The 22,838-nt window shown below is 38.4% G+C and overlaps 1 protein-coding gene across 27 annotated transcripts in view; it reads right to left on the minus strand.

The window, feature by feature from the left end:
- The window catches only part of EVI5 (ecotropic viral integration site 5), a 283,715-nt gene that overhangs the window by 89,861 nt on the left and 171,016 nt on the right, over positions 1 to 22,838 (minus strand). For 26 of the 27 annotated variants that reach the window (NM_005665.6, NM_001308248.2, NM_001377212.1 and 23 more), the window contains 2 exons: positions 9,025 to 9,171; positions 6,751 to 6,846 (listed from right to left, as the gene is read on the minus strand). In NM_005665.6, coding sequence (NP_005656.4) covers positions 6,751 to 6,846; positions 9,025 to 9,171 — 243 coding nt within the window. The remainder of the gene's footprint in view (positions 1 to 6,750; positions 6,847 to 9,024; positions 9,172 to 22,838) is intronic. The other variant, NM_001377211.1, reaches the window with a different exon arrangement.

Raw genomic sequence — 22,838 nt, forward strand, 5'->3', positions numbered from 1 at the left:
ATTAAAATTCATGGTAACTCAGAATTGTCAAAAAATATTTAAATGCTATACATGGCATAGTATTGTTTTATATGTGATAGAACCTTAGAGTTCAACTCCTTAATTTTACAGGTTGTATAATCTGTTCCCAACTGAGCATTATAGCACAACAGTGTAATAATTTTATAGCAAAAAACCCACCAATAAATAATTGTCATTCATTTAGAGAAGAAAACTAGGTAATAGTAACTTTTAAAAACAGTTCTAGGAAAATGTCTAAAATTTGAAAGCTGCTACACTTAAAAATGGTTAAGTTCACTGTAAGACGCGAATACAAAGACAGGGTGGTGGAGGAGGCATTATTATAAACAATATAACTAGATTACAGATGTAGTTATGTCAGAATAACAACATGGCAGTAGATGATAATTCTTAAATTAGACCTAAAAGTTCTAAGTAGACTGAATAATCTTTGAAAATAAATTTAATAAATTTCAGTCTACCTATATCTATATACTACATAGCATGTATATAAATATACTATATATCTATATGTAAGTATCTATATATTACAATGTTATAGTATTTATAAAAATGAGTATTTCTTCATGTAATGTATTTTCTCATCTAAATGAGATGTTTACAAAAGTATAATTTTCATAACTACATTAAAAAGCAGGCTTTCATTATATGAATAACAGATTAAATAATAATTTATTAAAAGAAGAGTTTGAAAGAATTCGGTTTGTGCAAAAACATTTTACTCGCAAGAGAGTACCAGTAATTGGAAGAGTTAATCTGAAGACATCTGAAGTACAAAAATCTTAGACTAAGTTGAGTTCTCCCCCTAGTGGAACTTGAATATGATCTAAGATATTTCCATGACTAAGAAAATAACCTAAAATATATTACTTTGATAACTGAAAAAAGTTTCAGGTTTTAATGAAAGATCTATTTATGAATCTTAATCTGTATTAAAAATATACCTCTATATATCTATATTTATATAGACATATACATATAATTAAATATTGAAACCTTAAGACATCTACTGAAAACTCATTTACTAAGCAAATTAACAGCAAGTTAGCCAAAAAGCACTCAGTCCTAAGACCTGAAAGAGAAACAGAAATACTTCAAAAGTAGAGGAGTAAGAAGTTCAGAAAAATACAGCAATTTAGGAAGATGCAGCAACATGCAGAATGGCACAGAATTCTGAAAGAATGTGATAGGTGCAGGAATAGGATAATTCACAGTGGGCAGAATACAGCATGTATGTGTAGGTGATGAGGATGGGGAGATAATGGTGAGAGATGAAGCTACAAATTCAGTTTGGGCAATAATAAAAAGGATTTTATGCTAAGGAGTTTCGATATGATTGGTATTTAAAAGGTAGTCAATGAAATTTCTATGTTTTAGAGAGACAGCTTTTTTAATCTGTAGAAGAGCTGAAGCTGGAGAAAAGGAAACTGGATGGGAGGTTACAACAACAGTTCAGGTAAGGGGTAAGCAGATGAACTAACGGAGTGGTAGGGAGAAGAGAAATGTTATTATAGACTCAAAAAAGTTTGAAAAATGACTCAAATTACCTTTTATTTAGTTTTATACTTACTTAGACTTTTCTATTTTGAAAGATTGAAGAGTTGGCGATATGCAAAACTGAGAAGCTGGGAAAACTAAACTGTATAGATCAGAAATGTATAGGAAGATGACACAATCATAAGGAAAGGCAAAAGAGTGATTGTCATAAAAGTCAGGATAGGGAACAGGGTGTGACTGAATAGACTTCTTGAGTACAGGCAATTTTGTCTGTCTTAACCTTGGTTAGAAGTTTTATGTATAATATTTGTACACATACAATGTAACTTTGTTTTATTAACTTCTCTGTACATCATGTTTCATAATTTTTAAATTATTAAACCATTTAGAAAATTATTGGTAAGGGGAAACAGGCTGGGGCTGGAGATAAATTATGATTCACTGTTGCAACAATTAGTGGTCCCCAACCTTTTTGGTACTAGTGACAGATTTCGTAGTCCATAGAGAGGGTGGGAGAATGGTTTCAGGATGAACTGTTCCACCTCAGATCATCAGGCATTAGATTCTCTCATAAGGAGAGTGCAACCAACACCCCTGACATGTGCAGTTCACAATAGGATTCGTGCTCCTGTGACAATCTAATGATGCCACTGATCTGACAGGAGGTGGAGCTCAGACAGTATGCTGCTGGCTGCCCGCTCACCTCCTGCTGTGCGGCCCGGTTCCTAACAGGCCATGGACTGATACCTGTCTGTGGCCTGGGGGTTGGGAAACCCTGGTAAAGATGGTTCCTGAAGCCATGTAAGTGAGACCCTTCATTTGGGTATAGTTTGTAAAAGCCAAAACCTCGGATTTCAGAGGAATACACACATCCACGACTGATAAAGATGACTGTAAACAACAGTTAAACAAGAAAAAAGAGAGTCAAAAGTAAGTGGTGGTAGCAAAGTTAGGGGAGGTGAGAATGCAAGGAGGACGAAATGGTCAAAAACAAATGCAATAAGCATGAGCAGGCAAATACTGAAAAAATAGCAACAAATTTGGCAATTAGGATTCCAGTGACCACTTTATCAAGAGCCAGTTGATGATAATATACCCCTACTATAATAACAGTAACAATTCTATCACCTCACACCTGTTAGAATGGCCATTATCAAAAAGATGAAAGACAGTAAGTGCTGGAGAGGATGTGGTGAAAAGGGAACTCTTACACACTGTGGGTAGAAATGTAAATCCTCAAAAAATCAAAAACAGATGATATGATCTAACAATTCCACTACTGGGTATATATCCAAAGGAAATTAAATCAGTATGTTGAAAAGATATCTGCACTCCCGTGTTCACTGCATTATTCACAATAGCCAAGACATGCAACCAACCTAAATGTCCATCAGTAGATGAATGAATAAAGAAAAAGTGGTTTACATATACACAATGGAATATTATTCAATCTTAAAAAGGAAGGAAATTCTGTCATTCACAACAACATGAATGAGCCTGGAGAACCTTAAGTGAAATTGAAATAAGCTAGGCTCAGAAAGACAAACACTACATGATCTCACATGTGGGATACAAAAAGTTGAACTCAAAAGTACAGAGTAGAATGGTGGTTACCAGGGGCTAGATGCGGGGTTAGGGGTAAAGGATTGGAAGATGTTAAAAAAAATTCCATGAATTTTCTATTTTTCAAAAATAATGTAACACATTACATTTCATTTTAAACAAAAATCCTGCATACCAGGTTCTTCGTTTTAATAAATATTTCAGAATCAACAAAAAGAGTGATTTAAATTTTACTATTTTGTGATTAAGATGTATAGAAATATGGCAAATTCTTAGGATTTTCTTGATGTTTAGAAAAGTACAGACTAATGCTAAAATCACATACGATAGCATGATTTAAACAACTGATTACAAATATATTATGCAGTTGGCTCATGTCTGAGGTTTTTCTGAATATGTGCACTTTATGGGGACTACTACCAGCAGAACATAAAGGATACCTTTTTATAAACATACAAATCATAATGTGTTGTGGTTACTTTTGATCCAGATCAAAAAATGAAGTTATAATATAATATGTAAGTTTGGAAATTAATTACATTTGAAATTGAAATTTAAAGACAAAAGGAAATTTCAGGTGGGAAGAAAATTCTAGATGTTACAGCAAAGACTATTGTGACTTGGAGTACAATATAATTAAAGACTTTGAAAGACATAAGATTTTAAACATAGTATTTTGTCCATAGGGAAAACTTACTACTTTTATCATATTATACAAGAAGTAAGGCATAAGAAGTGACAAAACACATTTATTTTTATTAAAAAAATTTTTTTTTGAGACAAGGTCTCATTCTGTCACTCAGATTGGAGTGCAGTGGCTTGATCATAGCTCCTTGTAATATGGAACTCCTACTTCTGGCCTCAAGGGATCATTCCACCTTAGCCTTCCAAGTAGCCAGAGCTACAGGAGTGTACTATCATGCCCTCAGCTAATTTTTAAAAATTGTTTTGTAGAGACAGGGTCTTATTCTATTGCCCAGGCCGGTCTTGAACTCCTGGCCTCCAGCAATCCCCTGACCTTGGCCTCTCAAAGCACTGGGATTACAGGCATGAGTTACTGTGCCCTGTAAAAACATATTTATTTTTAAAGCTTTGAATTTTCTTTTGAAGATAGTTTTGATAATATAGAAATATGATAAATTTTCACTAAAAAATGGACTTGGAGCACAGTCAACACCACCAAAAAAAACAAAACAAAACAAAACCCAGGTACGTTGATTCAGCAAAATTAAAAACTTTTGTGATAAAAACACTATCAACAAAGAAAAGGCAACAAACATAATGGGAGAAAATATTTGCAAACCATATATATGATAAGAAAGTGATACTGAGAATATATAAATAACTCCTATAACTCAACAACAAAAACAACAAACAACCTGGTTCAATTAAGCAAAGGACCTGAATAGCCATTTCTCCAAAGAAGATATATAAATGCGAAATAAGCACATGAAAGTATGCCCAACATAGCTCATCATTAGGGAAATGCAAATCAAAACCACAATGAGATACCACTTCACACCCATTAGGATGGTACTTATAAAAACAACAACAGAAAATTAACAAGTGTTGGTGCAAATGCGGAAAAAATGAAATCCTCATGCATTGCTGGTAGAAATGTAAAATGGTGTAGGTTCTGTGGAAAATGGTATGGCAATTTCTTAAAAAAATTAAACAATTACTATATGATCCAGCAATTCCACTTCTACGTACTCAAAAGAAGTTAAAGCAGGGACCTGAACAGAAATTTGTACACCTGTATTCATAGCAGCATTATTCACAATAGCTCAAACATGGAAGCACCCTAAATGTCCATCAATGAATGAACAGATAAAAAATGTGGTATATACATACAATGGAATATTATTCAGCTTTAAAAATGAAGAAAATTTGTAAATATACTATAACATTATAAAAAATGGTTTTTCTTTCAATAATAAATTAACTTACTGTAAGTTTATTTATAAACTTCCAATTTTTTAAACTTTTTGACTCTTTTATAACATTTAGCTTAGCAAACATTGTACAGGTGTATAAAATTTTTTTTATATCTTTATTCTATAAGCTTTTTTCTATTTTTAATTTTAATTTTTAATAAATATATTTTTTGAAACAGGGTCTTACTCTGTGGCCCAGGCTGGAGTGCAGTGCTGTGATCATGGCTTACTGCAGCCTTGACCTCCCAGGCTCAGGCAACCCACCCACCTCAGCCTCCTAAGTAACCGCGACTGGGACTATAGGTGCACCACCAGGTCCAACTAATTTTATTTTGTATTTTTTGTAGAGAGGGAGTCTCACTTTGTTTGTCAGGTTGGTTTCAAACTCTTGGGCTCAAGATCTGCCTGCCTCAGCCTCCCAAAGTGCTGAGATTACAGGCATGAGTCATTACACCTGATGAACAAAAAATTTTTTAAGTTAAAAAAAAATTAAGGCTGGGCGCAGTGGCTCATGCTTGTAATCCCAGCACTGTGGAAGGCAGAGGTGGGCGGATCACTTAAGCCCAGGAGTTCGAAACCAGCCTGGCCAGCAAAGGGAGACCTCATTGCTACTAAATAAATAAATAAATAAATAAATAAGCTGGGTGTGGTCATGTGTGCCTGTAGTCCCAGGTACTCGGGAAGCTGATGAGGACTGCTTGAGCCAGGAGTTGGAGTCTGCAGTGAGCTATGACTGTGCCACTAAACTCCGGTCTGGGCAACAGAGTGAGATCCTGCCTCAAAAAAAAAAAAAATTAAAACATTTGTGTTAAAAACTAAGATATTAGCTTAGGCCTACACAGGGTCAGCACCACCAATATCACTATCTTCAACCTCCACATCTTGTCCCACTGGAAGGTCTTCAGGGACAATAACACACATGAAGCTGTCATCTCCTATGAAAACAATGCCTTCTGGAAAACCTCCTGAAGGATCTGAGACTGTCTTAGAGTTAACTCTTGTTTTGTATAAGTAGAATTAGACTCTAAAATAGCAATATTAGTATAGCAAAACAACAAATAGTATAGCAAACATATGAACCAGTAACATAGTCATTTATTATCAAGTATTATGTGCTATACACAACTGTACGTGCTACACTTTTATAAGAGTGGCAGTGCAGTGGGTTTGTTTATACCAGCCTCATCACAAACACATGAGTAATGTGTTGCACTATAACATAATGATGGCTATAGTCACTAGGCAAAAGGAATTTTTCAGCTTCATTATCATCCTATGGGACCATTACCATATATGCTGTCCGTCACTGAAATGTCCTTATGCAGCATATGACTGTATTGTATGATCCCACTTATATGAGGTAACCAGAGTGGTCAAACTCATAGAGACAAAGTAGAATGGTGGTTTCCAGTTGCTGGTGGTTGCCAGTTGCTGGGGAATGGGAAGTTAGTGTTTAATGGGCAAAGAGGTTCAGTTAGGGAGGATGAAAAAGTTCTGGATATGGATGGTGGTGATGGCTGCACAACAGTGTCAAATATACTTAATGCTGCAGAACTGTATACTTTAAAATGGTAAGTTTTATGTCTATTTTACCACAATAAAAAAAAATTGGAAATGAATGATTACTGAAAAAAGAATCACAGTCACGAGGATAAAGAGTAAGTTACTGTTCAGACAAAGAGGATAGAAGAAACTATATTTTTACATGTACTTTATTATTTTCATATGGTACCTGGATTTCAAGCTCAGCAATGTGTTGTCGTAGTTCAGCCACAGCAGCTATGCTATCTGCTTCCCGAAGCCTCACAGCCATCACTTCTTCCTTATTCTAGTGTGGTAAACCAAACCGAAACAAAATAAACCAGGTGTGTTTGGAATTCAGATTTTAGAAAAGTAATAGGTTGCATAAACCATACGTTAAGTATTATCTAGCAGGGTCTAAGGCAGCATCCATAATGAAACAATATGCTCAATACATACAACGAAGCAGTGAGATATAAATGTTCACATCAAGTGGAATAAATAACAATTATAAATGGCCATATATCAATTCAAATTAAGTTTTGCCTCCAAAGGAATTTGTGTGAAATTTATGAAAAAACTCCAGGGTTTTAGAGTGTTTTGCATTTTGAAACTGGGGTTCACAGGCTTGTAATATTTCAACTTTAAGTGAGAACATTCAAATTAAGTTGAGAGGGAAAATAACATTAATATTATAAACAATATCCACACATTTTACACAACTAAAAATAAAAAAGCTTTAATAATTATAAATTAATCATAAGCTATAATATTATAATACTAAATGAAAATGAATCAGATTTACATAATTCACGGACTGGCTTTCTTGAAAAATTAACTTTGTTCCCGAATTATTCCAACATAACAGGGTAAAACATACACATTTAATCAGAATGTACTAGGTGCTAGGGTAACAATACATTGGTCATTCTCAAAACCTGCAAAGGCATCACGAAAGATTGAATAAATTAACACACAGCTTAAACACAGGGGAGATATCAGAGTTTGCATCTGTAACATACTTCACAGAGGTATTAATGAACAATTAAAAATTAAATAAAATCCCATATTAGTTCATAAAATCCTCTAATATTCTAAATCTGAGCCCATTACTTAGACAAGTTCAAAGAAAATTATTATTTTCAACAGCAAGTTCCTCAAAGATTTATTTCCAAAGAACACTTTACTTTGCTCAACAGGTACTAAGGCATTTGAGGAGCAATATTTAATCTAGTAACACCATTATCAAAATATGTTTAAGGAAAACTAACACCAATAATAAATAAAAGATTAAATTTAGTTATCTATAAGATGTCAACACAGACAATTTAGCATCATAAAAACTCAATCAGATATTGGTATGACAAATCAGACTGATACAACCTCATTTAATATTATTTTATTTATAGTTTAGTCATATCCTTCAAAAGTGACTGTGCTTTTAGTAGGAATTTCAGTACTGCCTACAGATTTCTGTCAGTATACATTGTAACAGCCATGCATATTTATAAGGATGTAATTTCATCTCTGGATTTCAGTGACACTGATAAACCATTCAAGCTTCACTCTTGGTTTTTAATGTCACCAGAATAAGCTGATGGAATTACAGCTTTACATGTGCCATCAAAAGTCTTATTTCTTATACAATAATAAGGCTGGAATCTTTAAAGGGCATCATTCCTACTATCTCACCATGGAAAGGTGGATGCCTAGTTTATTTTTTTAAATCCCATAACTTGCCTTTAGTAATCCATTCTAATGCCCAGTCTACAGTCATCTCTTTAGTTATTTCACACACACACACACACACACACACACACACACACACCCCCCCAAACCCTCCCTCCTCTCCTTCCATCTCACTGCCTTTCCCCCACTCTCTCACCACTGCTATATTGTAAATTTATTTCAGGAAAGAATGTACTTGCATTCAAATACTTTTGATGCTTTTTGAATCCAAACACTTCACAAAAAAGTAAAGTATATAACTGATTAAAATAATAATGGGTAATATACCCATTTTTCCCAACACACTGGTACATACACATTTCTTTTGCTCTCTAGTCTATCCAGAAAACATGTATCAATGTTATTAACATTACTGCCCACTAATAAGATACCAATCAAAGCAGAGGAGCCCTAACCTCTCTAAATGACCCATCTTTTTTGATCAAGCCATTAAAAGCTCTGGTTTTAAAGGGTTACCAGTCAAAAGAAAAACTGTAAAGAAATACTAGTAAATGCCAATCCAGGAAATTAAATTAACCAAGGAAGTGACTGAAAATGTTTCTTGACTAAAATCCACCCCAGAAGCAAGATGAGCTGACCTGGTCTGAAAGCAACTACCAAAACAAGTTCAGGAAAAGTAGAAAATAGGACGAGCTTTTTTGTTTTGTTTTTAAGATAATCTAATCACGATAAAACAAACAAAAAAAAGGCATTATTATATTGACAAAAAACAAAATCAGTTAGTTGACATATTTACCTTGCATTCAATCTCTGCTTGTTTACGCTTTGCTTCACTTAATTGAGTAAGGAGTCCTTTGTTCTGTGCAGAAAGATACTGCACTTTCTCCTGTAGGCTAATCACCTCTTGTTCTGCTCTTCGAAGATGGTTACTATTGATCTGGTTCTAATAATCAGAAATATAAATACTGAGACTATAGATACAAGACCTAAAAATTAAAAAAAATTACCTATCCATTTTATACCATAACATTATTAAAAATGTTACTAGTTATAGGTCACTGTTATTCAACAAAATCAACATTAAAAAATAAGATAAAACTGCCTTTAAAATCAAGTCATTCAAGGCTGAGGCGGGCGGATCACAAGGTCAGGAGATCAAGACCATCCCGGCTAACGCGGTGAAACCCCGTCTCTACTAAAATTACAAAAAAAAAAAATTAGCCAGGCATGGTGGCGGGCACCTGTAGTCCCAGGTACTCGGGAGGCTGAAGCTGGAGAATGGCGTGAACCCAGGAGGTGGAGCCTGCAGTGAGCGGAGACTGAGCCACTGCACTCCAGCCTGGGCGACAGAGCGAGACTCCGTCTCAAAAAAAAAAAATTAAAAATAAATAAATAAATAAATAAAATCAAGTCATCCAAAGGAATGCATACTGTCAATATTAGAGACTCTCAATATAGCTCAATATACCATTTATACAAAAAATAGGTGTAAACTATAAAAATTCTTATACACAACTTGAAGGTATTCCTTTCTAAGATTGGCAATGGGAGTACAAAATGGATAGATACAGGAATGGTGAGTTTAATTCCTCTTTCCAGTTCCAGAAAGAAAGCACAAACCAGTCAAAAGGTACCATCATGGCCAGTGCAGTGGCTCATGTCTAATCCCAGCATTCTGGGAGACCAAGGTGGGCAGATCACTTGTGGCCAGGAGTTTGGGACCAACTTGGCCAAAATGGTGAAACCCCGTATCTACTAAAAATACAAAAATTAGTCAGGCATGGTGGTGCACGTCTATAATCCCAGGTACTTGGGAGGCTGAGGCACAAGAATCACTTGAACCCAGGAGGCAGAGGTTGCAGTGAGCTGAGATCACACAACTGCACTCTAGCCTGGGTGACAAGAAGACTCTGTCTCAGAGAAAAAAAAAGGAAAGGAAAAAAAAAAGGTACCATCACTATTTATTGGGCTGTAAACTTGATGTCACACAATACGGCATATGTGTATTTCTACATGCTCTCAATGTCTAGCACAGTCTCTTTTTATGAAGCACACAGATTTTGAATCCTGGTTTTAATATTTGGTCATTAAGCAAACAAGCTAGTATCTCTGAGTCTCTATTTCCTTATTTGAAAAATGCATATAAAATAGTTTCTATTTCTCAGTTTGGTGTCTTCAGAATTAAATGAGATAATATGCGTAACAGGGCCTAAATATGTAGCAATAAATGCTAGCTGTTTATTGTATTATAATTACAGAATGTGCTAAAAAAACATATAGACCTTGAACTAACATGAGGTAGTTTTCACACTCAGGTATGACCCAGCCAGAATTCTCTCAACCCGAAATTATTCTATCAGAGGCCTGAAAGAAATAGTAGGGACTTTCATAACAGAAAGAAGTAAAAATCTAACTTCTCATTTAACAGTTCTTAAAACTTGGCCAAGTTATTTAATCCTACCAAATTTCAGTAGAGATAGTACTACTTGCCTTTTGAGACTATGTTGTGAAGATTAGATTATGGGCGAAAAGTTTATGAAAGCAGTCTCACACAATCATGTCATGTCATGTAATTTCATTTCATTTTTTTTTTGAGACAGTCTCACTTTGTTGCTCAGGCTGGAGTGCAGTGGCACGACCTTGGCTCACTGCAACCTCCACCTCCTGGGTTCAAGTGATTCTCCTGCCTCAGCCTCCCAAGTAGCTGGGATTACAGGCACCCACCACCATGCCCAGCTAATTTTTGTATTTTTAGTAGAGACAGGGTTTCATCATGTTGGCCAGGCTGGTCTCGAACTCCTAACCTCAAGTAATCCGCCCGCCTCAGCCTCCCAAAGTGCTGGGAGATTACAGGCATGAGCCACTGCACCCGGGAAATTTTAGATACTTAATAAATGTTCAGTTGTTGCCATTATTATACCTACTTTACCTCGCCCTATGAAAAAGACCCCCCTCCAGTTTTAATGAAAAAATGTAGATCATCTAATAGATGTAAGCTCCAAAACTTTCAACCACTTAGAACTTTCTTCATCTTTACTTTTACTTGTCTTCCTGTAACACATACTCTAGTCGTTCTCATTCTCTCTCTCTTTTTTGTTTTTTTTTTTTTAGATAGGGTCTCACAGGAGCTTGCTCTGTTGCCCAGGCTAGAGTGCAGAGGCACAATCATAGCTTACTTGTAGCCTCAATCTCCCAGGCTCAAGCTATCCTCCCACCTCGGTCTCCTGAATAGCTGGGACCACAGGCATGTGCCACTACGCCCAGATAATTTTTTTTATTTTTAGTAGAGACGAGGTCCTACTATGTTGCTCAGGCCAGTCTTGAACTCCTGAGCCCAAGTGATCCTCCCATCTTGGTCTCCCAAAATCCTGCGATCACAGGCATGAGTCACTGCACCTGGCCTCTTTCTCATTTTGAATCAACAAATAAGTCTGTCTACAAAATTAACTAAACTTCTTAGTGCCGTATTCAAAATGTATCACAGCCTCTTTTTACTGTCTTACCTGCTACCATTAAAACAAATAACTACACTTCAGAGGGACCCATCTTTGACATAAGCTGCAAATAATGTCCATAGATAAAACCCTTCCCTGCATCCCTGAACACAAGACCATAATTCAACATTATGGTTGATAAATAATACACATAAAACCCAAGAACTGACCATGAGTGAGAGACAGCAGACAGAAAAAATATATTTTAAGAACTCTAGAGATAATTATAGGACTTTACCTAACATAGGTTATGTCTAAAATTACAGTATTAATGACATAAAAGGAAAATGCCAAAACATAAGCAAAGAACAAGTCACTATCAAAAAAAATTAAGCAAATCAGAAAAATAACCAAAGAAAATTTCTATAAATACAGCCACTGAATTCAATGAATGGGTTAGATTGGAGATTAGCTATACTGAAGAAATAATTAGTGTCCCAGAAGAGGTTATTAGACACAGAAAAGAGAATAAGGTCCAAAATATACCTAATATGGGTTGCAGGATAAAATAGAAAAAAAAAAGTGAGATATGATGGTTTAAGAGATGGTAACAGTTGAGAATTTTTTACAATTAAACCAAACACCACATATTCTCACCCACAGGTGGGAATTGAACAATGAGATCACATGGACATAGGAAGGGGAATATCACACTCTGGGGACTGTTGTGGGGTTGGGGGAGGGGGGAGGGATAGCATTGGGAGATATACCTAATGCTAGATGACGAGTTAGTGGGTGCAGCGCACCAGCATGGCACATGTATACATATGTAACTAACCTGCACAATGTGCACATGTACCCTAAAACTTAAAGTATAATAAAAAATAAAAATAAAAAAATAAATCCCCCCAAAAAAAAGAAATAAAAGATATAAATCTACAATTTAGGAAACACAACTAGTTCCAACCAGGATAAAAACAAATAAATCCCCACCAATATATACTGTAACAAAACTTAGAATGCTAAAGAGGCAAATCAAGGGAAAAACTGAGATCTATAAAGGAAGGGTAATGAAATGTCTAGCAGATATTTCAATGGCAAAAATTCATAATGCTTAAAAAAGAATCTTCACCCTATAGTAGTATACTGAGCTAAACTATCATACAAGAAAGAAAAGTAAATTTATTTTAAGAAAGTGGGCCGGGCGTGGTGGCTCACACCTGTAATCCCAGCACTTTGGGAGGCCAAGGCAGGCGGATCACAAGGTCAGGAGATTGCAACCATCCTGGCTAACACAATGAAACCCTGTCTCTACTAAAAAAAAAAAAAAAAAATTAGCCAGGCGTGATGGCGGGCGCCTGTACTCCCAACTCGGGAGGCTGAGGCAGGAGAATGGCGTGAACCTGGGAGGCAGGACTTGCAGTGAGCCAAGATTGCGCCACTGCACTCCAGCCTGGGTGACAGAGTGAGACTCCGTCACAAAAAAAAAAAAAAAAAAAAAGAGTGACAGATTTAGAATGCAGGATGGAAACCAGAAACTGTCAAATATAAGAAGAGAGAAGAGCCTGTAGTCCCAGCTACTTGGGAGGCTGGGGCAGGAGAACTGTTTGAGGTCAGGAGCTTGAGGCTGTAGTGAGATACGATGGAGCCTATGAACAGCCACCGCACTCAAGCCTGGACAAAACAGTGAGACCCTATTTAAAAAAGAAAAAAAAATTAAATAGAAAAAAAAGAATTCAGAGCAAAAATAACTGACTAACAGGTGAACAAATCCAGATAAGCTCTGACTCCATAAAATAATAATATCTAGTAGTTTGGAGGTATTAAAAGATGTACAATAATAACTTGTAAGACAGAAGAACACATGAAGTTATTCACAGGCCCTTCTAAATGTTTGGAAAGGATACAGAGATGATGACTAAGTTTAGACTTTGTTCACCCAGGTAAGCATTTTCAACTTTTTTCAGGTAGCAAACATTAATAGAAAACAAAAGGAATTATAAGAGTCAAACCAGTACAGAGAAAGTGAAAGAAAAAACTAAATCCAATAAAGAGGAGGAAAGGAAGAAAAAAGGAACAAAAAAGAAAGAAACCAAAAGTACCAAACAAAACAATCACAAATACATCATAATCAGGACTTTTGATTTGTGATCTGGGATGTAGAAGGTCAAAGAACTGCTCCTACCCTTCCAATGAAAAAAGAAGGAAGGCCAGGCACAGTGGCTCATGCCTGTAATCCCAGTACTTTGGGAGGCCGAGGCGGGAGGATCACTTGAGGTCAGGAGTTCGACACTAGCCTGGCCAATATGGTGAAACCCCTGTCTCCACTAAAAATACAAATATTAGCCAGATGTGGTAGCATGCGCCTGTAGTCCCAGCTACTCAGGAGGCTGAGGCAGAAGAATCGCTTCAACCCCGGAGGCGGAGGTTGCAGTGAGCTGAGATCGCGCCACTGCACTCCAGCCTGGGTGACAGAATAAGACTCCATCTCAAAAAAAAAAAAAAAGGAAAAAAAAAAAAAAAGCCAGCCAAACTAAGTTCAAACCCGGAGCCTTCCAGGAGAGATGCAATGGGATTTAAGCACTTTCTCACCTGAGGCAGATACGGCCACAAGCTAAGAATGATACAGCTAGAATAAATATCAGACTGGTGGAAGCTAAGTATTGGCTGGCTAGACAGTGTGAAGGCGCAGGAGGCAGCAGACTTAGAGTCTAAGTTCACAAACTCTTGCACACTTTTCTTCAGGTACCCCAACGGGTACACACACAAAAGACTGGTGAGTCTTGAGAAAGAAACCTTCATGGTACAGGACTCAAGAAGGGGAATAGCAGTCACTATAGGAAGGCGCTAAACCTTGCCTGTCTCCTCTAGGGAATATATGCTTTCATCTGTGTGGATCAGGGCCAAGAAACGCTGCTGTCTTTGGGGCACTGGTGAAAGCCATTGCATCTTGGGGAAGGGGCAGAACTGCGTTTTGTGCCTAGTACTACATCTGGGGTGGGCAGGAGCACTAAAGACCAAACACACCAGATCAAAGGACATAATGAAGCCTAAGACTGAATTTATTTATTTATTTATTTAATTTATTTTTTTCTTTGAGACAGAGTTTCACTCTTGTTGCCCAGGCTGGAGTGCAATGGTGCGACCTTGGCTCACTGCAACCTCTGCCTCCCAGGTTCAAGTGATTCTCCTCCCTCAGCCTCCCAAGTAGCTGTGATTACAGGCATACAGCACCACGTCTGGCTAATTTTTGTATTTTTAGTAGAGATGGGGTTTCACCATGCTGGTCTTAAACTCCTGACCTCAGGTCATCCACCTGCCTCAGCCTCCCAAAGTGCTGGGATTACAGGCGTGAGCCACCACGCCCAGCCATTTATTTTTTTTTAATTTAGAAACAGGATCTTACTTTGTGGCTTAGGCTGGAGTGCAGAGGTGTCATAGTTCACTACAGCCTCAAACTCCTGGGCTCAAGCGATCCTCCCACCTCGGCCTCTCAAGTAGCTGGGACTACAGGCACATACTACCACACCTGGCTAATTTTTAAAAATTTTTATACAAGACAGGGTCTCACTATGTTGCCCAGGCTAGTCTCAAACTCCTGGCCTCAAGTGATCCTCCTGCCTGGGCCTCCCAAAGTGTTGGGGATTATAGGCATTAGCCACTGTGCCTGTCTAAGACTGAGGCTTCATCAGAACAATAGAAAACACTGTTGCCCCTCCAACTCTTCTGTAATAAGTAACAAATGGAATACTGCTGAAGACAGACCCTTTTAAAATGTTATGCAAAGGGAAAACCTAAAGACACAAAATTCCTCTGGCAAACAGCTCCTACTCTAAAAATAAGGTATTACTAAGGGAAAAATAAAGTATTGCTAAGGGAATTTGAAGCCTATGGTGCACTGATGATACCACAGAAACAACAAACCTCAAACTCAACCCATCTCTGGACTATATTAACTTGAATCTCCCACTTTAAAGGCCTAGCAGAAGGAAAAATGTGCCCATTTCCAGGCAGAAAAACTATTTGACTCAGTCTGCAGTCCTACACAAGATATCCAGCTTTCAACAAAAAAATTACAAAGCATAGGAAAAGGCAAGGAAAAACAAAGCACTCCCAAAAGACAAAGCAATCAACAGAACCAGCATTACATATGGCACAGATGTTAAAAATATCTGTGATGGTTAATACTAAGTGTCAACTTGATTGGATTGAAGGATATAAAGTATTGATCCTGTGTGTGTCTGTGAGGGTGTTGCCAAAAGAGATTAACATTTGAGTCAGTGGGATGGGAAAGGCAGATCCACCCTTAATCTGGTGGACACAATCTAATCAGCTGCCAGCGAATATAAAGCAGGCAGAAAAATGTGAAAAGGAGATACTGGCCTAGCCTCCCAGCCTACATCTTTGTCCCGTGCTGGATGCTTCCTGCCCTCAAACATCAGACTCCAGGCTCTTCAGTTTTGGGACTCGGATTGGCTCTCCTTGCTCCTCATCTTGCAGACGGCCTATTGTGGGATCTTGCGATCGTGTAAGTTAATACTTAATAAACTCATATATATATATATGAGTTATATATATGTATGTGTATTATATATAATATACATGTATTTTATGTTATATTTTATATATATATATATATATATATATATATATATATATATATATATCTCCTATTATTCCTATATATATCCTATTAGTTCTGTCCCTCTAGAGAACCCTGACTAATATAGATTTTGGTACCAGGAGTGGTTCTAGAGGAACAGAATATTAAGGATGGAGTTCTTAAATTGGTTTGGGGGTTTCTGGAGTTGGCTGCTTAATACGGTAAGACCCAAAAATGCTAAGGACTCTACTTCTAACAGTATGGAGCACACTGATAGTTCTTGGCATGAACTGTTTGTAGAGAGTTACGCAAAATAAATGCATTTGACACTCCTGATTTACTATTTGTGAGAGGCAAGCAGTTTAGTGACTCTATACATAATACCTTTGACTATATGTGGAGAACCAAGGAATGTAATGAAGTTGGTTGGTTGCTCCTAAGTTCACTGGACAAATTGATGAAAGAAAATGATGAATTCAGGGGATTCTGTCCCCCTGCTTCAGAAGCAGATACTACGCCTCAAATCTGCTAAGATTGCCCTGAATGAGAGTAGACAGTCACAAGCTCTTCATGCGAGTGGCTGACCTGCAACGAAAGATGCATGCACAGCCTTGCCAGGTGTCTACTGTTAAAGTGAGGGCATTGATTGGAAAAGAATGGGACCCTAAAACTTGGAATGGGGACATGTGGGAGGACCCTGATGAAGCTGGGGACATAGAGGTTTGTAAACTCTGATGAACCTTTTTTGTCAGAAGGAACAACTTCCCCATCCCCAGTAGTGGAAACAACCCCTCCCCAACCCATGCTGCCATCAGCCTTTCTGCCTTTGTCTGAGGAGATGAACCCTGCGCTGCTTGAGGCAACATTGATGCCCTCCCCTGAGGCAGTTGCCAGGGAAGATAATGTTGATTCTCCTCAGGAGCCACCCCCAACACCTGTTTGCTTCTAGACCTATAACTAAGTTAAAGTCTCAGTGGGACCCTAGAGGGTGAGGTTGAGTGTGACCCATGAGGAGGTGTGCTACACTTGAAAAAAACCAAGTTCTCTAATTTATATAAACAGAAATCTGGAAAACAAACCATGGGAATGGATATTAAGGGTATGGGATAATGGTGGAAGGAACAGAGTTGGATCAGGCTGAATTTATTGATTTGGGCCCACTAAGTAGGGATTCTGCATTCAATGTTGCAACTTGGGGAGTTAAAAAAGGTTCTAATAGTTTATTTGCTTGGTTAGTTGAAAGACGGACTAGAAGATGGCCCACTGTGAGAGAGCTGGAAACGCCTGATCTCCCTTGGTTTAATGTAGAGGATGGAATCCAAAGGCTTAGGGAGACTGGGATGGTGGAGTGGATTAGTCACTTTAGACCTACTCATCTCAGCTGGGAGGGTCCAGAAGACGTACTCTTGACCAATGCCTTTTGAAATAGATTTGTGAGGGCAGCACCTGCATCTTTGAAGAGGCCTGTAATTGCTCTTCTTAGTATGTCAGATCTAATGGTGGGAACCGCAGTTACTCAACTACAAAATTTAAATACAATGGGAATAATTGAATACTGAGGTGCCGGGGCCAAGTGGCAGCACTCAACCATCAAACGCAAGGTAGGCATAGCTACTGTCATGAACAGCAGCGGCAAAGCGGCAATCAGAATAGTCTGACTTGTGTAGAGCTCTGGCATTGGCTAATTAATCACGGTGTTCCTAGAAGTGAAATTGATAGGAAGTCTGCTCATTCCTACTTAATTTATACAAGCAGAAAACTTCTAGGTCAAATGAGCAAAATACTAATTTGAATTATAAAAACAGAGATTCATGGCCCCCATAGGTGAATCACAGCAGAGACCTCTAGGATTTTGGAGCGAGACCCTGCCATCTTCTTCAGATAACTACTCTCCTTTTGAGAGACAGCTGTTGGCCTGTTACTGGACTTTGGTGGAAACTGAACCATTGTTCATCATAGTCATGAAGTGACTATGGGTCATCAAGTCACCACGCGACCTGAACTGCCTATCATGAACTGGGTGCTTTCTGACCCATCTAGCCATGAAGTGGGCTGTGCACAGCAGCACTCCATCATCAAATGGAAGTGGTATGTACGTGATCAGGCTTGAGCAGGTCCTGAAGGGACAAGTAAGTTTCATGAGGAAGTAGCTCAAATGCCCATGGTCTCCACTCCTGCCACCCTGTCTTCTCTTCTCCAGCCCGCACTGATGGCCTCATGGGGAGTTCCCTATGATCAGCTGACAGAGGAAGAGAAGACCAGGGCCTGGTTCACAGATGGTTCTGCACGATATGCAGGCACCACCTGAAAGTGGACAGCCACAGCACTACAGCCCCTTTCTAGGACATCCCTGAAGGACAGCGGTGAAGGTAAATCTTCCCAGTGGGCAGAACTTCGAGCAGAGCACTTGGTTGTGCACTCTGCATGGAAGTAGAAATGGCCAGATGTGTGATTATATAATGATTCATGGGCTGTAGCCAATGGTTTGGCTGGATGGTCAGGGACTTCAAAGAAGCATGATTAGAAAATTGGTGACAAAGAAATTTGGAGAAGAGGTATGTGGATGGACCTCTCTGAGTGGCCAAAATCTGTGAAGACATTTGTATCCCATGTGAGTGCTCACCAACGGGTGACCTCAGCAGAGGAGGAGTTTAATTATTGAGTGGATAAGATGACCTGTTCTGAGGACACCACTCAGCCTCTTTTCCAAGCCACCCATCGTCGCCCAATAAGCCCATGAACAAAGTGGCCATGGTGGCAGGGATGGAAGTTACACATGGTCTCAGCAACATGGATTTCCACTCACCAAGGCTGACCTGGCTACAGCCACTGCTAAGTGCCCAATTTCCCAGCAGCAGAGACCAACACTGAGCCCTTGATATGGCACCATTCCTCACGGTGATCAGCTAGCTACCTGGTGGCAGGTTGATTATATTGGACCTTTTCCATCATGGAAAGGGCAGAGGTTTGTCCTCACTGGAATAGACACTTACTCTGGATATGGGTTTACCTATCCTGCATGTAATGCTTCTGCCAAGACCACCATCTGTGCACTCACGGAATACCTTAAACACCATCATGGTATTCCACACAGCATTGCCTCTGACTAAGGCACTCACTTTATGGCCAAAGAAGTGTTGCAGTAGGCTCACGTTCATGGAATTCACTGGTCTTACCATGTTCCCCATCATCCTAAAGCAGCTGGATGGATAGAATGGTGGAATGGGCTTTTGAAGTCACAATTACAATGTCAACTAGGTGACAATACTTTGCAGGGCTGGGGCAAAGTTCTCCAGAAGGCCATGTATGCTCTGAATCAGCATCCAACATATGGTACTGTTTCTCCCATAGCCACGATTCACGGGTCCAGGAATCAAGGGGTGGAAGTGCAAGTGGCACCACTCACCATCACCCCTAGTGACCCACTAGCAAAATTTTTGCTTCCTATTCCCTCAACATTAATTCTGCTGGCCTAGAGGTCTTAGTTCCAGAGGGAGGAACGCTACCACCAGAAGACACAACAACGACTCCATTAAACTGCAAGTTAAGATTGCCACCTGGACACTTCGGGCTGTTCCTACCTTTAAGTCAACAAGCTAAGAAGGGAATTACAGTGTTGGCTGGGATGACTGACCCGGACTATCAAGATGAAATCAGTCTGCTAATCCACAACGGAGGTAAAGAAGAGTATGCATGGAATACAGGAGATCCATCAGGGCATCTTAGTATTACCATGCCCTGTGATTAAGGTCAATGGGAAACTACAACATCCCAATCCAGGCAGGACTACAGATGGCCCAGACCCCTCAGGAATGAAGGTTTGGGTCACTCCACCAGGAAAAAAAACATGACCTGCTGAGGTGCTTGCTGAAGGCAAAGGGAATACAGAATGGGTAACGGAAGGTTAGTCATTAATACCAGATACCACTACGTGACCAGCTGCAGAAACAAGGACTGTAATTGTCATGAGTATTTCCTCCTTCTTTTGTTAAAATCATGTTTGTGTATGTATACATTTGTACTAAGAAAATATATTTTATCATGTGACATAAGATTTATTGACTTCATATCAGCATTTAAGTACTGTTAACTTTATGTAATAGTATTTGAGTCAGGGATTGGTGTGTTTCCAGGTGTACAAAGGATAGTTGTATTATGTTAGGCATAATTATTACCTCATTATTGTCTTTATTTGAAGATTATGTATGATCTCAGGAGATGTGCATAGGTTCAAGTTCAAGCTGACAAGGGGTGGACTTGTGATGGTTAATACTGAGTTAGTATCCAAGATCAATACAAAGTACTGATCCCGGATGTGTCTGTGAGGGTGTTGCCAAAAGAGATTAACATTTGAGTCAGTGGGCTGGGGTAGGCAGATCCACCCTTAGCTGATGGGCACAATCTAATCAGCTGCCAGTGAATATAAAGCAGGCAGAAAAATGTGAAAAGGAGAGACTGGCCCAGCCTATATCTTTCCCCCATCCTGGATGCTTCCTGTCCTTGAACACTGGACTTCAAGCTCTTCCGTTTTGGGACTTTGACTGGCACTTCTTGCTCCTCAGCTTGTAGGCAGCCTATTGTGGGACCTTGTGATCATGTAAGTTAATACTTGAAATAAACTCCCATATATATATATATATATATCCTATTAGTTCTGCCCCTCTAGAGAACCCTGACTAATACAACATCTGACAGAGAATTTAAAATAACTGTGATTAATATGCTAAAGGCTCTAAGGGAAAGGTGAAAAACATAAAATTAGATAGGTAATAGCAGAAAAATGAAAACTATGAGTCAAAAAGAAAAGCTAGAGATGAGCTGGGCACAGTGGCTCGTGACTGTAATCCTAGCACTTTGGGGAGGCTGAGATGGGAGGATCACTTGGGCTCAGGAGTTCGAGACCTGGGCAACACAGTGAGACCTTTTCTCTTTGAAAAAAAAAAAATTTTTTTTTTGTTAAAGAAAAGCTAGAAATGAAAAACAGTAACAGACGTAAAGAATACCTTCAGTTGGCTCATCAAACAACTTGACAAAGCAATGGAAAGAATGAGTGAACTTAATAATTTGTCGGTAAAAATGTTTTAGTCAATGGAAACTGAAAACACAGAGAAAAATGATAGGGGCAAAACGAACAGAGCAACCAAGAGTTGTTAGACAACCTTGAACAATCTAACACATGTATAATTGAAACCCCTCAAGAAGGGAGCATGAGAAGAAATACTTGAAGAAATAACAACCAAGGGCCGGGCGTGCTGGCTCACGCCTATAATCCTAGAACTTTGGGAGGCCGAGACGGGCGGATCACCTGAAGTCGGAAGTTTGAGAACAGCCTGACCAACATGGAGAAACCCCGTCTCTACTAAGAATACAAAATTAGCCAGGTGTGGTGGCACATGCCTGTAATCCCAGTTACTTAGGAGGCTGAGGCAGGGGATCATGGCTTGAACCCAGGTGGCTGAGGTTGTGGTGAGCTGAGATCACACCATTGCACTCCAGCCTGGGCAACAAGAGTGAAACTCCATCTCAAAAAAAAAAAAAAAAGAAAGAAATAACAACCAAGAAGTTTCCAAAATTTGTGGCATACACAAATCTATAAATCAAAGAAACTCAGAGAAAAAAAAAAAAGAGAGAAAAAAAAACCCAGATCTGGGTATATCATATTCGACCTGCTACAAACAAAGAGAAAAGCTTGAAGGCAACCAGAGGAAAAAATACATTACATGTTGAGGAACAAAAATAAGAATTACAACAGAATCCTGGCTGGCATGGTTTCTGACAAGAAGATAGCAGAGTGATTTAAAGTGTTAAAAGAAAAAAACTGTCAAGGCAGAATTCAATATCCTGCAAATATATCTTTTAAAATTGAAGAAATAAACATTTTATCAAACAAAAACCAGCACTAAAGGAAATGATAAAAGAACTTCTTAAAGCAGAAAAGATAAGATACCAGACAGAAACATGGATCTGCACAAAGAAAGAGTGCTGAAACAGAATATCTTGAAGGAAAAACACATTTCATTAAAAGTTTTTCAATTTCTATGAAAGAAAACTTTAATGCAAAATTAGTAGCATATATATTTGGACAATATGTAAAATGTATGACAATTTCACAAAAGAGGTAGAAAGATTTGAAAACACACTGTTGTAAGAGCCTTAGATTACACATGAAGTGTATAGTTATTTATTCATTTATTATTATTTATAATTTATTATTTGAAGGTAAACTCTATTTATTGTAAAACCTGGAACAACCACTAAAAAAACTCTTGAAAGATGTATAAATAAATAAGTCAAATGTGAAGATAAAAATGGAATCACAATAAATATCTAATAAATCCAAGAGAAGGTAGAAAAAAAGAAACAAAGAAACAAAGAACAGATGGAATAAACAAAATAGCTAGCAAGGTGACAGATATCAATCCAAGTAAAATTACAAAACTGAGACCAAACTTGACAGCAAAAGAAACTATGAGACTAAATTGTTTTTAGTTTTTTGTTTTTCTTTGAGATGGAGTCTTGCTCCGTCACCCAGGCTGGAGTGCAGTGGCGTGATCTTGGCTCACTGCTGCAACC

This window comes from Homo sapiens, chromosome 1, assembly GCF_000001405.40.
Source record: "Homo sapiens chromosome 1, GRCh38.p14 Primary Assembly".
Lineage (NCBI taxonomy): Eukaryota > Metazoa > Chordata > Mammalia > Primates > Hominidae > Homo > Homo sapiens.